This window comes from Homo sapiens, chromosome 17 (genome assembly GCF_000001405.40).
Source record: "Homo sapiens chromosome 17, GRCh38.p14 Primary Assembly".
Lineage (NCBI taxonomy): Eukaryota > Metazoa > Chordata > Mammalia > Primates > Hominidae > Homo > Homo sapiens.
Genome location: NC_000017.11, coordinates 37,118,691 through 37,139,125, shown reverse-complemented (window position 1 = coordinate 37,139,125; position 20,435 = coordinate 37,118,691). Strand labels below are relative to the sequence as shown.

Genomic DNA, 20,435 nt, shown 5'->3' with positions numbered 1-20,435 from the left:
CATATATTCATAGCTCTGTCTTTGCAGATCAGTGCTCACTTGAAGCTTTGCTACTCTGTCAACCCCTCTCCTCTCTTCAGCCTTTCTTCTCCCCCAACCCCAGCCTGAAGCCCAAGTAAATTAGCTTATCACCCCTGCCCCCTAGTTGTAAAAAAATTCCCGTACTCCTCCAACAGTGTCTATTCTTGGATTTGCAGTCAGCAACCATCTCCAATAACCATCAGGCTGTCAGCTTTGCAGCTCCCTACCACCTCCCACCTCCCCCATTACTCACCAGAAGAAAAAGAGAGCCAGAGCAAGAGCTTGAAATATATCATGCAATAGTGTATCATGAATTTGTTGTGAATCACAGTGGTGAAGCAGGTTTATTTATTTCTGAGACCTTAAATCAATACAAAGTAGGTCTCTTAGTTCTGAAGCTGGGATGGAGTGTGAAAAAATGAGCCCATTGTACTCTTACAACTTTGGGGAAAGGAGATGACAGCTATATAATTCCATTTACCAGGCACTAGGGGCTTTAATGTGAAGGTGACAGGGAGCTCTTTGTGCATTTAGAGCACCATATCTTCTAAATAAAAGATCTGTAGACTTGATAGTGGAGCATAGCTCCAAGTTTAATAATCTCCAAGCATTAGACCGAGCCAATATGTTCCCAAGTCAGAAAGGTCCCCCTTAACACTCATAAATTAAAAGTGCAAGAACCACACGTTAGTAGATTAGAAATGCAAGGACTCCAGTCTTTTCTAGAAGGAAGACAGAGCTGGGCCCTGGCTGTGCACAGACTGGTCTATGAATATGATAAAGAAGCGGAAATGAGACTGTTTAGAAACCTGACTCCTAGCTGTTCATCATTCTAGGGAATGTTCCCTGTGCATGGATCCAAATCTAGCTATGTCCCTTCTCATTCAGATTGGCCATCATCACACAGTCTAATCAGCTAATGTACACAGTCAGGAATATTGAATTATGAAAGGAGAAGCTTAAAGAGCTTTTTAGATTGAACTACAGATTACCATGCCTGGGCTTCAAGATTTTCTGGCTGATTTTTGACCGGTTCCTAATTTTAATAATGTCTCAGTGTCTGGGATTTAAGCCTTCTAAAATAGTATGCGCGTCTAAGAAATTGAGAAATCAGTGTTGGTAAGGAAAAGAACCCACCCAAATTTAACCAACAGCATAAGATGCAAATATGAGAAGTCAAGACCATTGGAACATGTAATCAACTTTTGAGTAACTTCATTTTCTACCTGACCCATTGGTAAAATATGCCTTTCTCAATAGATAAAGCAGGTTTATGCAGCTCAGAAGAGCATTCCTAACATAATATGACTTTATAGTACTTAGAATTACTAGTTTAATTTTAGCCCATGTAAAGAATTTTGACAGGGAGGGAGGGAGAGGGGCATCTACATTGGGGAAAACTAAAAAGGTAGGAAAATTGAACCACTCCTTTTGCTTCAGAAAGCCACTACACATTATAACACTAATATGAAAGACTTATTTTGCTTATAGTGGTTTAACTTGCTGAACATACTAATCGGTTGAGGTTTTATAGAATACATAGAAATGTGGTAGATCACATGCATTTATTGCATGCCTGTTAGGTATAAAGCTGTTCTTATGCTGTGGCAATACAAAGATGATTCCTGCTTTCATGGAGCTGAAATTTAGCTAAAAGACAATAATAGGCCTTTCATGTGTTCTAAAGGAAAAAATAAAATTGCTGCCCATCAGACGTCAATGAGAAAACACAAACCAAAAGGCCACAGAGATAGTAAGTCAGTGCTACTCCCCTAAGAGCGAGGCCCTGCAAACACCATACTCTTGGGGCCTGGACACTGGTGAGCAATGCAGTCAGTCACAGCCTATTCAGTAAAACCAGTAGGAGGCGACTGACAAACAGGGATTTTTTTAAAAGTTTTCCATCTTTAGAAAATACATAATCTGATAAAAGATTGGTATCCAAAAGAATTCTCAAACTCAGTAAGAAAACAACCCAGTAATTAAAAACATGGGCAAGAAATTTGAACAGACATTACACCAAAGAAAATATAAGGATGGTAAATAAGCACATGAAAAGATGCTTATCATTAGTCATTAGGGAAATGAAGATTAAACCACAGCTTGACACCACTAAATGGTGTTTTTTGTTTTGTTTTTTGTTTTTTGCTTTTTTTTTTTTTGAGACGGAGTCTCGCTCTGTCGCTCAGGCTGGAGTACAGTGGTGCAATCTTGGCTCACTGCAACCTCCACCTCCCGGGTTCAAGCGATTCTCCTGCCTCAGCCTCCCAAGTAGCTAGGGACTACAGGCATGTGCCACCACGCCCCGGCTAATTTTTATATTTTTAGTAGAGATGGGGTTTCACCGTGTTATCCAGGATGGTCTCAATCTCCTTACCTCATGATCTGCCTGCCTAGGCCTCCCAAAGTGCTGGGATTACAGGTGTGAGCCACTGTGCCTGGCCTAAATGGTTTTTTTTTAATGTTTGACAAATACCAAGTGTTGATGAGGATGCAGGACAGCTGGAACTCTCATAGATTGTTGGTGGGAATGCAAAATGGCACAGCCACTTTGAAAAAGGTTGGGCTTTTCTTAAAACCTGTACACAAATGTCTATAGCAGTGTTATTTATAATCCTCCAAAAGTGAAAACAACCCAAATGTACACCAACAGGCAAACGGGTTACCAAGTTGTGGTACTTCCATAAAATGGAATATTACTCAGGAATAAAAATAAACTACTGATACCTGCATCAGCATGAATGAGGCTTAGATGCAATATGCTAACTGAAAGAAGCTAGATTCAAAAGGCTATGTACTGTATGACTCCATTTATGTAACATTCTAGAAAAGGCAAAACTACTGGAACAAAAAGATCAATGGTTGTTAGGGGTGGAGGGAGGGAAGGGAACATGAGGAGACTTTGGGATGATGAAAATGCTCTCTATCTTGATTGTTGTGGTGGTTATATGACTATGTGTATTAAAATTCACAGACTTGTATACCTTATGATGGACAGTTTTGCTGTATGTAAATTATACTTCAATAAACCAGACTTTATTTAAAATTTTTAAAAATTGGCTGGGCATGGTGGCTCATGTCTGTAATCCCAGCACTTTGGGAAACTGAGGCGAGAGGATTGCTTGAGGCCAGGTCTTCGATACCAGCCTAGACAACGTGCAAGACCTTGTCTCTACAAAAAAAAAAAAAAAAGAATTCCTGTTTGGAATTAACTTATCAGAAATCTCAAGTCCCTACCTACATGAGCAGTTGGTGGGTCCCCCTAGGGTGAGTGATTACTTTTGGCAGCTTTCTTTCCAGAAGCCTGTGCTTCTTCTCATACATTTAGCAAACTATTGTGTGGCTCCTCTCTATCTTTTACATTACAAATGAGTCTCTGTTCCTTACCCACTCCACCTTCAAATCCTTATTGTCTTTCTGCTGTCTAATTCATTCCTCTGTTCTCCACTGAGCCCTGTACCTCAGTAAAGAGATGTCTTCCAGTGTTATTTCTGGCCTATATTCAGCCTCTTTTTGGCTGTTTCTTTTCCTTCCACTGACAGTACCACCCCTTTGCCCCAGTTTATCCTTCAGCATACCTGATCACTTCATGATTTGCTGCTTATAGAGAGATTTTTGGTCTTATAGCAAATGGTCTTGAATCCAGCTGTGGCTCATGTCAGAGGCTTTTCTCTCTTCTGCCCACAGTATGTCACCGAGCCCCTTCTCTACCCCAACCCTAGCCTAGCACCTGCCAGCCAGCACTCCAGTTTGCCAGTGACAGTAGTGGCAATAAAGTGGGGAAAAAATTATAACGCTTTGCCTATGCATTAAGAAACTGTATTTTGGAACCCCCAAATAATCTTGTTGGTCACATAGGTCCTGGTTCCATCTCCCTAGAGATTTAATTCCATTCACCCTTGGATATATTCCTGAAGAAACATTGACACAGTGATATGTGCAGCACCACTTAAAATTGTTAATTGGAGATTGAATTACTTGTCAGATTTTTAAAATGTAGTCCTCTCAGGTCAGGGAGGAGGATATTAGCTGCACTGAGTAGATGAGCTATTGCATTTTTTTCTTCTCCTTCCTCCTTTCTCTCCCCCTCCCTTTTCCTCTCTCTCATCCTTCCTTCTTTCTTTTGTCCCTATTTTACCACTTTTCCTCTACTCCTGCTTATTCTTTCTCATATCTGTTCTCTTTCAGCTTTAGCCAACCTTTATCAATAACCTGACAGATCCCAGAGTGACTTTAATATCTAGAATCATGGATGAAGTCCAGTGATGACAATTACTCAGTAAATTTACAAAACCCCTCCTCAAATCCTCTTGAGAATGGAAATGTCCTAATAAGAAGGAGGATTGCAGCGAGGACTCAGCTTGTGTAGCCTAATTCTTAGATGCAGGAGGAATTTTGTATTCCCTGCTTCCTTAAATAGATGTCCTGACCCACCGAGCATTGTTTAAAGAGGGGGAAAAGACTGAATAAAGAGGAAGAGAAGGAATAGATTTCATTTTTTATTCCATCATTGATATGCATGATAATTTTTCACATCTTCAGCACATGATTGCAAATATTTGCCTATAAGTCTAAGGGTCCCCAACATAATGTGTATGTCAGGACAAAGGCAATTTTTAAAAAATTGAGCTAAGTTGCATCTGTGAAACTTGGAAATCTCAATGCCTGTGCTGACAAATATCCTGACAAGTAAATACTGCACTCATTCAGTATTACATAGTGATTTCATTTGCACAAAACATCACAATGCTCTGCCACTTCAGTCAAACGTCTGGAGCATGGGGGAAAGGAAGTACGTGTTTATCTTGATCTCCAAAAAGGGCTTTAAGGGAGAGAGCAGGCGGTATATTAGGCTGTTTTCATTGCCTGTCAGCTGTGGTAAACCTGAGCTGTCTGCAGTGTCTCTAGATAAGCAGCAGCAGCAGCAGAGGCCTGAGCATGGACGTATGACTGCATTCATTTGTACTTCTTATGTATCTCAACATTTCTAAAGGCTACGTAGCATCTTTGGTGGAGCCTTTAACAATTGTGTCTCTGCTAATCACCGGCTTTTATGTGGTGCCCTTAATTCTTAGGTCCGCCGGCTGCAATGAATGAAGTACTGGATGAGGCTTAAGTTTATATTGAGAATGAGTCAAGATCCTCTTTCCTCTCAGATTCAGCCCTTATTCAATTCTGTCAGCATGGCACTCTTCAGCAGAGGACCCCAAGGTGGAGCCCATTCCTAATATTGCATGGTACTGCTTCTCCACTTAGATCTGGAGGGCAAGAAAGTGAGGCCTCAGGAGAATCACCTCTGTTTGACTCACTCCTGTGTTTAAATGATTATTGATGCTTGCTGGACAGATAAATTAAAAGTTTGTATCATACAGTAAGTAGAATGTAAGAGGAATATATTTGGGAACTGAAACACGGCAAGAAATGCGTAGGTCAAAGTTTAAAAGAGTGTTGAATGCAGCTCACCTACTTCATGAAAATATGTTGATGAGAGTTGTTGACCCCAGGTTTTTCTGTAGAAGGTCAGCAGGGCAACCTTGAGGAAGAAAACAATGGTTCTGTCTATGTGGACTCCATTCGTCTTCCTAGATACTGATGAGGGTTTGTGTAACTGTTATAGCATGATCATTTCACAGTTAGGCAGAATGGATTTTATCCTAACCCAGATTCTGCTTCCTTGGTTGGAGCTTTTGTTGTGAAGTATTCTAAAATCATTAAAACCACTTGAGTCAGCAACGACCCCTATAAATCAGGAGCTATTGTGTGCGCCCTCATTCTACTGGCGCATACTCCAAACATGTGGTCATTGAAGATGAACTGGAGGGTACTGCTTTCTCTTCACCGATTGTTAAGTAGTTATGATTGTTAGCATTTGTTTGTGATTAGTGGAGCAGTTTCATTTCTGTGCCCATCCCCACCCTACCCCCCATCTCCCAAGATAAGGCTGGTCAGAGAGTGATATTGGGATACTCTTAGTCTATTCTGTAATTTTTCTCCTTAATTTCTGAATTAAGTGAATTTTCTCACATGACAAACACTTCTTTAGCTCAGAAATAATGTTCTTGGTATGTTAAGCCCTGGTTAGGTTTCTTCTAAACATAGGAAAGGAGAGATGTAGAAATACTGCTGCCTTTTCAGAACAATGCCAAAGCATCAGAACCCGAGTTTTAGCTTGTAAAGAGAAGAGTACTCAGTTATTGAGCCTACCAAGTTTGCCTCCCATTATTTTGTAAAAATATGGGGTAGAATAGATAAGTGGCAGAGGATCACTTTTAAATGAGGAGGCAAAGACATCAGAAGAAAGTATGTTTAAACAGCTGAGCGGTCCCTTTTTCTGAGTGTAGTTCTTCATTGGTCCATTATTAGTTTTGGAGATGTGTAAGATTCTAAGTGGTTGGACATTATCAGGTATTAGAGATAGGAAGAAAATAGTGTTTCTGAGTAGAAAATGGCCCAGCTCTCTCTTCTGGGCAACAAGGAGTACTTGGCTCCTGACCTAGATTGTGAATATCAGATTTTCAGGGTCAGCACAGTGTCTCCTTTTGTATTCCTTTTCCCCCTTTCCAATTTTATTTTAATAATTAAAAATACTGCTGATCACACTGAATGCCTTCTAACAGAGAGGCAGTCTGTCCCAGAAGGACCAGTTGTGGGCCATCGGGTTTATGACGACCATAAAACCAGAGCCAGATCAGAGCGTGGCCTCTGTAAGTGACAGGGTTTCTGCCTCTACCAGGCTCCCGCATCAACAGACTGCTTTGGATATTTGCTTTGGTTTGGATTTTTTGTTCTGTTTTGTTTCCTGATGCATGTGTGAGTGTGCATGTGTGTGCACATTTAAAGATATAAATGAAACAGGTATGTAATGCCCTCTGCCTGTTAGAAAGACTAAAGCCATAAAAATAACAAACGGCGTGTATTTGCTAGAATGTCAAAGTTATGAGTTTATTTTGTAATGATGTGCTCCTGCCTTCATGAGGTAAACTGGCCGTGGCGGAGGTGTTATTAGTAATATGGACTCAGCAGAGCAGAAAGCTGAGTGACCGAGAGATCAGTGTATCAGTCAGAGAGAGGGCAAATGGAAAGAGACAGCAGGAGAATGAGAAAAGAGCCGCAGTGCCTGGGCTGAGATTAAAGACGGACTGAGAGGCGGATGGGAGCTCAGTGGTCAGATACCGTCTTCCCTCTTCACGAGGCTCCTTCAAAGGAGCTGCCAGCATGTTGCTCAGCTTGGGGCTGCCTGTAAAGGCTTGTTCTCTGCGCTTCCTTATCAAGGAAAACAGTAATCTGAGAGCAATTTTGCTTTCCATATTCCTTTCAGAAAAGTATCTTATGCCCTTCCTAGCTGAAGTTAAATGGAATCAAGGCCAATTGGGTCACACTGAGGTTATTACTTTGGTCACCAACTTCCTCCATCTTTGGAAGGTCCCGATGGGGGTGCTGACCCAGCATGCAGGGGAACCTCTCAAAGCTCCTAACAAGAAGGGGCAAAATGGGAATATACAGGCAGACTTTGCTGGCCCTTAGTTAGTTAGATTCTCCCCAGAGACTGAAAATGAATACACGTACGGAAGAAATTTTGTATTGTCGTTATTTTTTAAAGGAGGAGAGGAAAGGAAAAAGAAAAGGTAAAATACAGTAAGCGCTCTACAACTGTTTAGAGCTCTCCGGGGCTACCTTAGATGACTGACAATTACTATACACTCAGCAGTTTGCAATAGTCAGTGATCAGGCTGCCCGGCTTCCATCTGCTGGGTCAGAAAACCTCCTTCCCTGAAAGAAATTATTAACCAGTCTTCAAGGGAAAAAGAAACCCTGCAATTTCCAAGTCCAGGAATATCTTTTCTTCCTCTTTTTTTCTTCTTTAAAGGAAACTTTGTGGTTTCCAATTGCAGGTGCCCTTTGACCTTACAAGGATTAAATTCCTCCAGGGATATACCAGGGATTGAGGCCCTGAACTCCCTGGAGCCTGGGAAGGGAAGGAGGAGGGGAAGCATGCTTGGGTATAAATCACAGCCCTGCACCCAGCACACAAAGAAGACTTGAGACTCAGGGGTTCATGTATGTATCATGAGTTGCTTCAGGTTTTTGCTAGCTTTAGGGCTTGTGCGTGGAGGCCAGTGTTAGGCTGGTGCAAAAGTAATTGTGGTTTTGCCATTAAATGACAAAAACCACAATTACTTTTGCACCAATCTAATAAAAATCAAATATAAGGAAAAAAATAATCCTTTTTAAAAATGAGGAACCTAAGCCCCCAGAGTTTCTTTAACTGAGACTTGTCACTAAATATTGTTGAAAGACAGGCATGTTACCTTTTTGTGTCTGTGTGCAAAGAGACTTGCACACAATGAGGTAGCCTATGCCTCTGGGTCTCAGCCTCACCCACCACTGCAGTTTCAGCTGAGGGTGGAAGTATGCTTTGCCTATCTGTGGCAGCTGGTGGAGAGAAAGGGGCTTGCTGGTTTTAAAATTGCAACCATGAATGTGATTGTTAAAAGTATTTTTTGTTTTTTTTTTAATTTTTTATTTTATTTTTATTATACTTCAAGTTTTAGGGTACATGTGCACAACGTGCAGGTTTGTTACATATGTATACATGTGCCGCGTTGGTGTGCTGCACCCATTAACTCGTCATTTAGCATTAGGTATATCTCCTAATGCTATAGTAAGCCCTCTTAGCGCAGCTGGCAGCGCGTCAATCTCATATTTTTTGTTTTCTAAGTTTTCTTTTTAGGAAGAAGATTCAGATAGTCCCTCAGAACAACCAACCCATGGAGACTGAAATCTCTGTTTTGTGGAGAAAAGAACCCATTTTAGTGCGACTTGTGAAATCGACCATGCCTTTATTTCTATAGAGACAAATGTCTTTTCTCTTGCTCTTTTCTCTAGGTCCTCGGGCGGGAAGTGTACACCTCCAATAACCAGCTGGGGGGCATCCAGATTATGCACAACAATGGGGTGACCCACTGCACTGTGTGTGATGACTTTGAAGGGGTTTTCACTGTCCTGCACTGGCTGTCTTACATGCCCAAGGTGAGCCCTTCCTACCCAGCACTGACATGGCCTGCAGAGCCTGTCATTTCCACCACAGCTCACTGCCTCTGTGTTTAAGGTCTTGTCTTTATGGTGGAGGAATTTTTTTATAAAATATTTCTCTGAAAGCTATTGATTTCTCTTTTCCTTACAGCCATATTTTGCCTTCTACCTTTAAGATGTCTCTGGATTTCATTTGTTGGGCCCCTTTCTAATGTCTTCCAGCCACGGAAGCCCTCATGGCCTACCTAAGGCTCAGATCCCAGTATATTAAGGTTCCTCCTCATTGTGGGTTTTCTCCTCTGTAATAGCCATTCATTCCTCAGAGGAGCATCCCAGAAAGCATGGGCACACTGAAATCAAGAGTCAAAACACACCACTTTGTGCCAGCCTCCTAAATGAGACTATTGACCTATACATGTTCCTTGGGGCCTGGCACATACGTAGGATTCTTCCAGCTGAAGATTGGGACTATTGGGTGCAATTCCATACGTGGGCCCTGCTGTCTTTGTCTATAACTATTGTTGCTGAGTTGGAGTCTAGGGCTGTCGTTCACTGATTGCTGTGCTCTCTTCCAATCTCCTTTTAGAGCGTGCACAGTTCAGTTCCTCTTCTGAACTCAAAGGATCCTATAGACAGAATCATCGAGTTTGTTCCCACAAAGACCCCATACGATCCTCGATGGATGCTAGCAGGCCGTCCTCACCCAAGTATGTATATGTTTGAGGACCCCATGGTACCTGGCTCTTAAGCTTTTAGCGTTCTTTTCAATCACTATCCAATTCCTGAACAATCACATGTGACTAAGAAAACAGAGGTAAGTACCTAGAAATGAGAAAGACCTGAAAACCAGCCCTCTGAAGAAAAAGGTGGGAAATCCTTCATGAAAAAATGAAAAATAAATAAAATGACATTTCCCAATCACCCATTAAGTCAAGCAGTGCAGTCACGAATACATTTCTTCTGTTTATTCTGTTATTAAAGCACTTATTACTTAATGGGTTCAAAGACTTTAACACAGTTCAATATAAGCCATAAAATCATAAAATTATAGGACTAGAATCTTCAGTCATCTAATCCCTACAACCAAAAGAGATTAATCAGTTTCGTTTTAGCACACGTCTTTGAGACCCTTCAGTGTAGAATATGACTTCACTCTTCTCAGCAAGCTCTGAGCACCCACGCTGCATGTGCCCTTCTTATGATATTGGTAATGGTATTGGTACTTGCTTTAGTAAGTAATAGAAGGCTACTTTGTAAGTTCATTTATTCATGAAGAGATTGTCCAGAACTTTTAATTATATAGATACATGGAGTGAGAATAAGCTCTCCCTCCAGATATATCTAATCTACTGCTTTGTCTTTTACCTAACTTAGAAACAAAACAGGAAAAAGAAGTAACTCTGTGTACATTCTCATTTGTCAGTCCATTTGGCTGTTCTAGCAAACCTTACTTATCAGGAGGTTCTTTTGTGGAGCACCAAATCCCTCTGCTGTATTTTGAATCCATTTTTTCAAACTATGTGAGGAAGCATTTGTTCTTTTTTGCATATTTATTGCAACTATTTCAAAGAAAGGCTATATATAAAAGTAGAAGAGATTGCAGAAGGTATTTTATTAAGTGTAAAAGTCATTGTGATCTTGCTGAAAGAGAGGTCTTCATAAGGAAGACCTAATAAACTTTTGTGGGTACCCACTGTAAGCCAGGTGGGACTGTAAAGCACTTCCACATCTTTTTTGCACTTACGACCTCTCTTAGATAAAGAGAGATAACTATTTTACAAAAATCAGAGAAGTTGAGTGATTCGTACAAGGTCACATAGCTATTATATAGCTATTACATTGTTTTTCTACAATATCTACATTAGACTTTCTATTATATAAAAACATGAGAGAAGTGTTTATTTTAATTTATAACTTTACCTGTTGTCTTCAGTGCCTCTTCTTGTTAATTTTAATAAAACGAAATAGTTTTTCTTTACATGCCTGGAAAGTCACCATACTAATCTTCTTCCTACTGTTTTTTTTTTTTTTTTTTTTTTTTTTTTTTGAGATGGAGTTTCACTCTTGTCCTCCAGGCTGGAGTACAATGGCATGATCTCGGCTCACTGCAACCTCCGCCTCCACTTACCCCTTCTTTCCCCTTTTTTTTGTGCCATGATTATGATAAGAACTATGAGCCTAAGATTACCTGTCAGTCTTTTTTTTTTTCTTTTTCTTTTTTTTTTTTTTGAGGCGGAGTCTCACTCTGTCGCCAGGCTGGAGTGCAGTGGCGCGATCTCGGCTCACTGCAACCTCCGCCTCCCAGGTTCAAGTGGTTCTCCTGCTTCAGCCTCCTAAGCAGCTGGGACTAAAGGTGCATGCCACCACACCCAGCTAATTTTTGTAATTTTAGTAGAGACGGGGTTTCACCATGTTGGCCAGGATGGTCTTTATCTCTTGACCTTGTGATCTCAAAGTGCTGGGATTATAGGCGTGAGCCACCGCGCCCGGCCACCTGTCAGTCTTAAAATGCAGGACTTTTCTGGGAATGAAGTGAGCCTCTTTACTTCTAGAATTTGGAACAAGACTTAGTGAGTTTTTTCCTGGGAAATACGGGAAGCCATCTTAGCCGGCTTCTAAGGTTCTGCATCGGAACTGGGTAGGATCTACTCTCTGGGGACTGTGAAGCACAACTACAATAGTCAGTGACTCCTCCTACCCCTAGCAGGAGAGTTTTTAAAGAAGAAAACATTTCCATCTTGAAGTTAATTCTGTAGTTCCAAATCCCTGTTATTGAAGTAAGAATTAGAAAATGATCCAAAGATATAAAGTTAAAATTCAGTGTTCTGATGAACCTAGAAATTTGGTTTAGAAACTTCACCAAAATTTGAGTCCTTCTTTCATGGGTGAACAGAAGTATGTGTGTGTAGGTGGGCATTATCCTGGCCATTATTAATGAAATCCACAGAATAAAATGAAATTTTTGATAAACTAAGTTTTCTGTTTTTTGGATAATATTTTTTCATTGACTCCCTAGTAATTCATCCTGCTGTCTATGTGCAGCTAACACTCGCTCCCAAATCGAGTGACTTCAGATTTTAATTTAGTGGAAGCGTTAAAGAAAGCAGATGATTCCCTGTGATAAGTTAAAGCAGATATCTTCTAGGTGAAAAGTTAAAGTCATTTATTAGAGGAGATAGTGCTGTGATATTCTTCAAACTGACGCCCAACACAAGACCAGAATCTAAACGATCGGCTTTGGGCTCACGGATGGAGAGATAATTTTGAAATGGATGATCACATTTTACACTGGGGCCATAGAGGCAAGGAATGTAGAACACAGTAATTACAAGTTTAGTCTAGATAAAACACTCTCCATCCTGTTTAAGTCAGCAGAGGTTAGCTTGCTCAGATCTCCACTTTTAATTGGTTTTGGACTTGGGTTTTTAGGGGGTGGAGGGCCATGTTCAAATTAGAAGAATCACTGAAAACCGTGAGCTGAGAGGGCAAACTAGGAAACGGTTATTTGCAGAAGCTTTTATGGGGCTTTGGTCAAACATTTATACCTGTGGAACAAAAGTTTTTTTTTTAAACTAACATGTTGAAAATTTTGGGTCTTGCCAGTGAAGGAAATTCTATGTGCAAGGAAGATTAATGGCATTAAGTATGTGCATCTTAACCATTGTATTTTTACTATCTGTCAAGAATATGTGGCCCTTTTTTGTAGAAAGGTTATACTTTATCAGCTGTTTAATAAAGTAGATATATCTTGTTGCTTTTGTAGCGGAGAAACTGAGTTCCTATTTTTCCCTCCAAATTTGGATCCTTATCTGATCATTAATACTTATTGTTTGGTTGTTTTTAGCCTTCAGTTAAAAGAAAGTCAGTGGAATCAAACAAAATTGTAAGGCAAGTTTTAAAATAGAAATAGACATTTTGAAAATATCTTTAATGACTTGGCAGCCTTTTGACAAATGTTTGTAGTGTCTTGAAGAAAGTCAAGTTATTTATTTAAAAGCATGCAAACTCTCTCTGCTAGCTAAACCTTGTCATTTAACAATAAATGATGCTTTTGCTGATAAATGATTCTTTTTATGCAGACTAGCAAATGAAATAGGAGATGATGTCTGAAGGCAGATGAACATTCAGCTGCCTAATGCTTCCATCTATTATAATTTGGTTAAAAACAACAAACTCCCCAAAATAATCCCCCAAACCACCTTAAATTCGTCAGTTCCAGCACATTGTCAATGGATTCACTGTCCTTATTCTCTGTTTTCTTTCTTTCCCTTCTGTAGCCCAAAAAGGTCAGTGGTTGAGTGGCTTTTTTGACTATGGATCTTTCTCAGAGATTATGCAGCCCTGGGCACAGACTGTGGTGGTTGGTAGAGCCAGGTAAGAGCTCTTTTGTTTTGGCAGCTCTTTTTCCTCCCAACTAAAAATAAGAAAGAAAGAGCCATGGCTCTATAGATATATACCAATAATGTTCTCTTTGTCTGAACTGTCTGAGAATATTGGATTATAGCCATGCCCAAGGCAAAATAATTGGAGTGCTGGTTCTCAGTTGCCATTTTGTGTGTCACTCCAATGATGCGTTTAATCTGAAGGCTAATTTTGACAACACTTCCTTTTTATAATGTTTCAGGAAAAACACTTTGGGAGCTGTAAAGCCCAACTACAATAGCCAGAGCCCACCAATGACTTTCCCTCTCCCAAAGACAATTTTCTTTCAGGAATAGGTGACAAGTGATTCAGAGACTCATCTGCTTTTCTATGTAACTGGAAAGAGGTTCTTCGTGGCACCGAGATTATTTAAGTGACAAATGTACTATATTGGATTATAATCAGATGTGAATTGCCAAAAAAAAAAAGTTTACCTGAAACAGGAGTAAAATAAGCTGAAATAGGTTGCCAAGATACCTATATTTTTGAAGTGGGAAATTGAAGTTTCTATTAAATTTTAATACCTACTCTAAGAAGTGCTTCACTCAACAGCAAGCTCTGTGCAAAATAATCTGTAGTGCTTGCTATAACGAGCTATAACGAGCACCTGCCACGACTGATCTTAATCTACTTCTGCACTGCAGAGACATGCTGCTGAGGGACCGCATCTGGAGCTCACCTTCCTCTGGGGGCAATCAGTTTTCCTTATCTTGGTGAAAAGTGGCACCTGCTCAAGATTCTCAAACATGCCACATTGGGTTGAGATTTAGATTCTAGCCTTGAAAATAATTCTAGGCTCTGTGGTTCTCTCAGTACAGCAGGTCAGCACGCCTCCATGCTGCCTGTGACAAGAAGCCATCAGAGGGCAAATCCCACAGACAGGGTCTTCCTCTGTGACTCTGAATAGGATTCTGGCCTGGAGTCAGCTCAGACTGAATGTCCCAGAGCCTACCTGTCTGTTTTCTTTAAAGTCTCAGGTCTTTTATCTCACCCCAGGCTTCTCAGTCCCAGTGAGAAGTATTCTCTGTGCCTGGTAAAATTCCCAGTGGGGAGCTTGGAAGTAGGAGATACACTGGAGCGAGAACCCTGATACTCGACTCCTGTATCAGCTTGTTAGATTCCTCACGGCACACTAAGACCAACTTTTTTGAGATTTGTCTCATCTATTCTGCTTCAATTTTCCTGTCTGTGAAAAAACATGACAGATTTTAAGTCTCAGAAAGCCAAACCTTTGTTAAGTTCTTTAAGATCCTCCCATGGGAAATAAGAGAAAAATACTTTACACTTATGATTAGAAGAATAGGGATTGCTTTGCGACCAAGATCAGTCAAGCTTGGCTTTGGTTAGCTCTGTCATTGTTTATTGCAACACTCACTCTGACTTCCTCCTTTCTTTCTATCTGACGAGTTCTGGGCTTCTTACTCCAAACGTATACACATACTCACAAGTATATAAAACACAAATGGAGCTCTAGCTTCTTTCAAAAGCAATGGCATTTCAAGAAATAAATATAAATGTATTCGTCTGGGATTGTTACTGTAAGTGCTGCCAAAACTCATCTTTGGTATGTATGTTTGGAATATGTGTGCTATTGGCTGTAAATTGTCTTTTATTATTCCATGGCACCTTGTCCAGGGACACACTATAAAACAAGATGTAGCATCTTCATGTGCTAGCCTGATAAAATTTATATGAAGTATAATAGAAAACAGAAGTTGTTCTGAGCTGTTTTCAAGTTCAATAAATAACTGTAATACTTGGATAAAGATGTTCTTTATTAGGTCACATGGGCCCTAATATATAAGTTATAAGTTACCGATTTAGGGTGGCTTTTGCAATTACAAGTTTCCAGTTGGATTGTTAATCATTGTGAACAGAAATATTTCTAAACCCTCCTGTGTATCTCCTGCTCGTTGTCTGGTTGTCTAGAGGGCTTTTGATTCTGATTCAGTGCAGGCAAGTGACAAGGGGGTGGGTGGTCTCCACTCAGGCCCTTGTCAGCCCTCTTGTGATGACAGGAATCCATTTTCACTAGCCAATTTAACAACCAAAGGCCATCTGTCATGGAAAAGTTTGTTATGGAGATGCTGTGAGAAATGAGAGACTATAACCCATCCCAGCCCCAACCCCAAGGAATGCAACAGTGAGAATGAAGACTGCATCACATTTTCCAGAGTAAAGACTCACCCTGTACTTTGTCTTGCTCTCTGATTTTTCCTAGAAAATCTTTATGAGGACCAAATTGGGAAGTCATAGTGGAGTATAAGGTGCAGAGGCTTTGAGCTCCTAAACAGTTTTTTAAATAAACATAGCTTTGAGATTAAATATATAATTCTAATATAGACTTCACCAGCATTACTACTAAAAATTATCCTTGTCCCATTTGTCTTTTCCAAGGAAGGAGAAAATTAAGGGCTTGTTGATCCACTTCCCTATTCTTGGCATGTGTTTCTCATCATCCTCATAACATGCCTACATACTCCCTATCCACACACCTAATAGTAAGACCTATTGTACCCTCAAATCTTATCTGGAACCACATTATTAATATTCCATAGAAAACTACAGCTCCATTTCAGCAAGGTCAGTCCTCATTAAAAGTTACTGAAAGTCTCAGATTCCTACTGCCTTTCAGACCATTTCCTACCATCTTCACCAAGGAGATGCTCTAGAGTGAACTGAGAAATTTCGTTTAGCAGCCACAGGGGTAGGGATGTGTATATGTGCTAGGCTGTTGAGTCTAAATGTAGAGGCTCCCCTAGAACAGCCCTTGGTTTGAATTTATCTTGTGTTGGGACATTTCCGAATAGAAGTGATTCTGAGGGTGGTTTCCCACCATATTTAGAGAGTAAATATCAAATCCGTAGAGTCTCACATTTAACTCATAGAAGAATCAGATTTCCCCTGCTCTCTGTGTTTGTTTCTAGTTTTTTCCCCAATGTCTTGATTTGGGATTGGAAAACAAATGGCTAGCTATAATGTTGACATACATTGGGTTCTTATGTGACTCATGTTTTATCAGGCTAGGAGGAATACCTGTGGGAGTTGTTGCTGTAGAAACCCGAACAGTAGAACTAAGTATCCCAGCTGATCCAGCAAACCTGGATTCTGAAGCCAAGGTAGGCCACCTCAAGTACACTGGGGGCTGTGCTTGGAGGGTTTTTCTCTTCGCAGTGCCTGTGAATACATCAGGAACATTGCAAACCATCAGTTTTAGAGGGAAGGGCATCAGCAGCCTTGAATGATTTTAGAACATCATGTGCTCACTTTTAAGGTGAGTCTAAACGGACTAGAAGCTAAATTCTGCCTCAAAAATTAAATAAGTCTTTACAGTAGTCTTCTTGATGCTAGAAAACGTATACTTTTGTTGGGGAGATGGTCTTACAGAAAGGTAGCTGAGATAATACTGAAGGCTCTTTGGTCCCCTATTCTCTGAGTATACACATGGAAGAGCTACAGCTAGAGTTAACGGTGAAGTCTGCCCTAATGCCAAGCGTGAACACCACAGCCCTTTTTTTTGAGACATGGTTCATGGCCCAGGCTGGAGTGCAGTGGTGTGATTTTGACTCACTGCAGCCTTGACCTCCTGGGCTCAAGGGATCCTCCCGCCTCAGCCTCCCAAAGTGTTGGGATGAGCCACTGTGCCTGGTGCCATTATTTTTTTAAAGGATGGATTATATTTTCACATCCTGACACCATTCAGAAAGTGAGGGGTCAGGGAGGCCAGGGAGGAGGCTATTCAGCAGTGTGACGTCAATTGTCTATTTGTTAGCCACAGTACAGGAAAATGCTATACTAAGCACAAAGGTGAAAGGACTGGGAGACTATGTACAATTGACTTGCTTTAAAGAGTAGCACAATGGAGCCATTTTAAGTAGCTTTTGAGAAACCTAGAACAAGGGTTCTTAGGACTGCATTCTTCCCTTTTGACTACAGAGTTATTATAATCAGGACTTAAAAAGAATAGTATTTGACAAGGTCAAAGATCGAGGATCCTTTCTTCTTTTTTACTCCAAACATGATGATCTTGATGAACAATAGTTTTTGTTGATCTGATTTTTAGTTTTCAGTTTTAAATAAGTAAAATCTTGTTCACCTTGGAGAGATTTCCCCCTGGAGCTGTGTTGTTAATTGTGTCTTCTTTGACTTTTCCTAATAGATAATCCAGCAGGCTGGCCAGGTTTGGTTCCCAGATTCTGCGTTTAAGACGTATCAGGCCATCAAGGACTTCAACCGGGAAGGGCTGCCTCTGATGGTCTTTGCCAACTGGAGAGGCTTCTCTGGTGGAATGAAAGGTGACTGGGCTGCCTGTGGGCTGGAGGGGCATCACTGATTACTGGGCACTCTGCGGCAGAGGGAGGGTATAGATTCAGCAGAATCTGTGGGTGTCCTAATAGCCTAGGCTTTTTGGGGATTCTGCCCTCTCTGAGACATCTTTTGAGTTGCAACTTGAATGGAAAAAAGTACATTTTATAATTCCATACAGAATTTCAGAATAATCTACTACTAGTGTTATTGAGGTGACCTACTGTTGTGGATCTCGCTCTCACAGATGGATGCTGGACCATTCTGATGGTGCTGGGGAAATATGATTGTGACTCTGTCCCTCTTTTCTGGGCATATACTTTGTTGGTGTTACTCCTAATGTTCTACAGTGACCAAGACAGATACTGAAATTAGCATTTACTGGAAGAAAATGAACAAATTCAGTACCAGAGGCTGTTCAGTACCAGTGGCAATTTGTGCTATGTTATATTATTATCTAACAACAGCCCTGGGCCTGTGGCTCCAGCATATTAGACCATTATTACAAAGGCTCTACTCCATGCTATGGGAATTGCTAAGTAATTAGGCAGCCAGTATCACCATTTACGGAGAAACCTTGATGTGTAGAGCGACTGTGGACACTACAGGGAGAGCCAAAGGAAACACTACCTCTTACAGTAGTGAAGCCCTCTGTCCCATGGCCAGATAATTCATGGCCATGCTAAGCCAGAGACTGCATACCTGGAGGGTATGAGAGTATGCTAAGTATAAATTCCATCTGTCTTGGGGAGAATTTGGGGTTCTAAAGCAATAGGATAGGGCCAGGCGGGGTGGCTCACGCCTGTAATCCCAGCACTTTGGGAGGCTGAGGCAGGTGGATCACTTGAGGTCCAGGAGTTTGAGACCATCCTGGTCAACATGGTGAAACCTTGTCTCTGCTAAAATACAAAACTTAGCTGGCGTGGTGGTGGGCGCTTGTAGTCCCAGCTACCCGGGAGGCTGAGGCAGGAGAATCACTTGAACCTGGGAGGCAGAGATTGCAGTGAGCCAAGATTGTGCCACTGCACTTTAGCCTGGGCAAAAGGGTAAGACTCTGTCTCAAAAAAAAGGAAAAAACAGTAGGATAGGTTAGGGGAAGGAGGGAGGAGTAGAAACTTTTGGAGTAAATAGTGATTAGAAAATGCTTAGGATGGCCAGGCGCGGTGGCTCACGCCTGTAATCCCAGCACTTTGGGAGGCCGAGGTGGGTGGATCACCTGAGGTCAGGAGTTTGAGACCAGCCTGTCCAACATAGTGAAACCCTGTCTCTACAAAAAATACAAAATTAGCCAGATGGGGTGGTGCATGCCTATAATCCCTAGCTACTTGGGAGGCTGAGGCAGGAGAATCACTTGAACCCAGGAGGCAGAGGTTGCAGTGAGCCGAGATTGCACCACTGCACTCCAGCCTGGGCGACAGAGCAAGACTCCATCTCAAAAAAAAAAAAAAAGAAAGAAAGAAAAAGAAAAGAAAATACTTAAGACATACAAAATGTGAAACAATGAACTCTCAATAGGGCACTTAAAAATAGCTTAGGGCAGAAGCACCCCCAGCCTATGAGGGAGGAAATGCCTGGGGAAACTACCAGATGGTCAGTTATGTGGCAAGAGGGATTTGAAATTTTTGCCGACAATTTTTCCTTACTCGTCTAGGAAGAGCCCTGTATGGCCAGGCCTCCTTGGCAAAATGTTGACTAGGTTGATTGTGTGTGTGTGTGTGTGTGTGTGTGTGTGTGTGTGTGTGTGTGTGTGTGTGTTTGGTTGAAAAGTTTACCTTTGCCTGTATTTGCTGGAGAACTACCACATTTTATACTTTTCTTGGGGGAGACTTGGACTATATATCCAAATTAATGATTGTATATATTTTTTAGATTATCAAGGTGAATTATTTTTTGACCGAGATAATAAATTAGTGGAAATACCATGAGAAATTGAGAGTATACGGTTAAGTCAATCCTACACATTTTTATTGAGTTCTGTGTGTTAGGAACTATGCTAGCCACTTCAGAGAACAAAAATAAGTCAAAATAAGTCAGAAACAATACATTGCTTCACAGAGACAAGAAAAATGTCTTGAGCAAAATGATAAAGCCATAATGTATAAACAAAATACCAGGATATTCAAAAGAAGATGGTAGTAGTATATCAAAGGGAAGGGGGGCCTGAAAACCCCTCATTCATATATATGAGGTTCATTCAGCATTAGATTTCACTTGATCCCAAATTCCTTGGCTCTAATATTTTTGTTGAGACCTGGGAGAGAATGCTATGCTATTACTCCTTACTTATCTCTTTGTGGGGGGCCCACTGAGAATGTACTCTTCCTGACATTACTTCAGAGTGTCACCCTGGATATTTTATCCTAACGGGAGTTCAGAGTTCAAAAGTTTCCAATGTGCCACTTCTAGGAAAAGCTTCAATTCTGCTACATATTTTGGCTCAGGCCCAGATTGGCTGCCGCGCTGTAACAGTAAGAACAACAACAATTAAGATTCATTGAGCTCTTTTCACCAGAAACTTGTGCTAACAATTTTACATGTATTATCTTACATAATCATCACAACAAGCACCTCTAAGGGGTAGGTTATATTGTTATGAACATTTTACATAAATTAAGATTTATGTAAATTAGGTTAAGTAAATTTCCCAAGCTCAT

The 20,435-nt window shown here is 40.8% G+C and overlaps 1 protein-coding gene across 25 annotated transcripts in view; it reads left to right on the top strand.

Annotated features, from left to right (window-relative positions):
• ACACA (acetyl-CoA carboxylase alpha) overlaps window positions 1-20,435 on the top strand; it is a 321,845-nt gene that overhangs the window by 267,711 nt on the left and 33,699 nt on the right. For all 25 annotated transcript variants that reach the window (XM_011524701.2, XM_006721853.2, NM_198834.3 and 22 more), the window contains 5 exons: window positions 8,908-9,051; window positions 9,641-9,761; window positions 13,332-13,428; window positions 16,499-16,595; window positions 17,636-17,771. In XM_011524701.2, coding sequence (XP_011523003.1) covers window positions 8,908-9,051; window positions 9,641-9,761; window positions 13,332-13,428; window positions 16,499-16,595; window positions 17,636-17,771 — 595 coding nt within the window. The remainder of the gene's footprint in view (window positions 1-8,907; window positions 9,052-9,640; window positions 9,762-13,331; window positions 13,429-16,498; window positions 16,596-17,635; window positions 17,772-20,435) is intronic.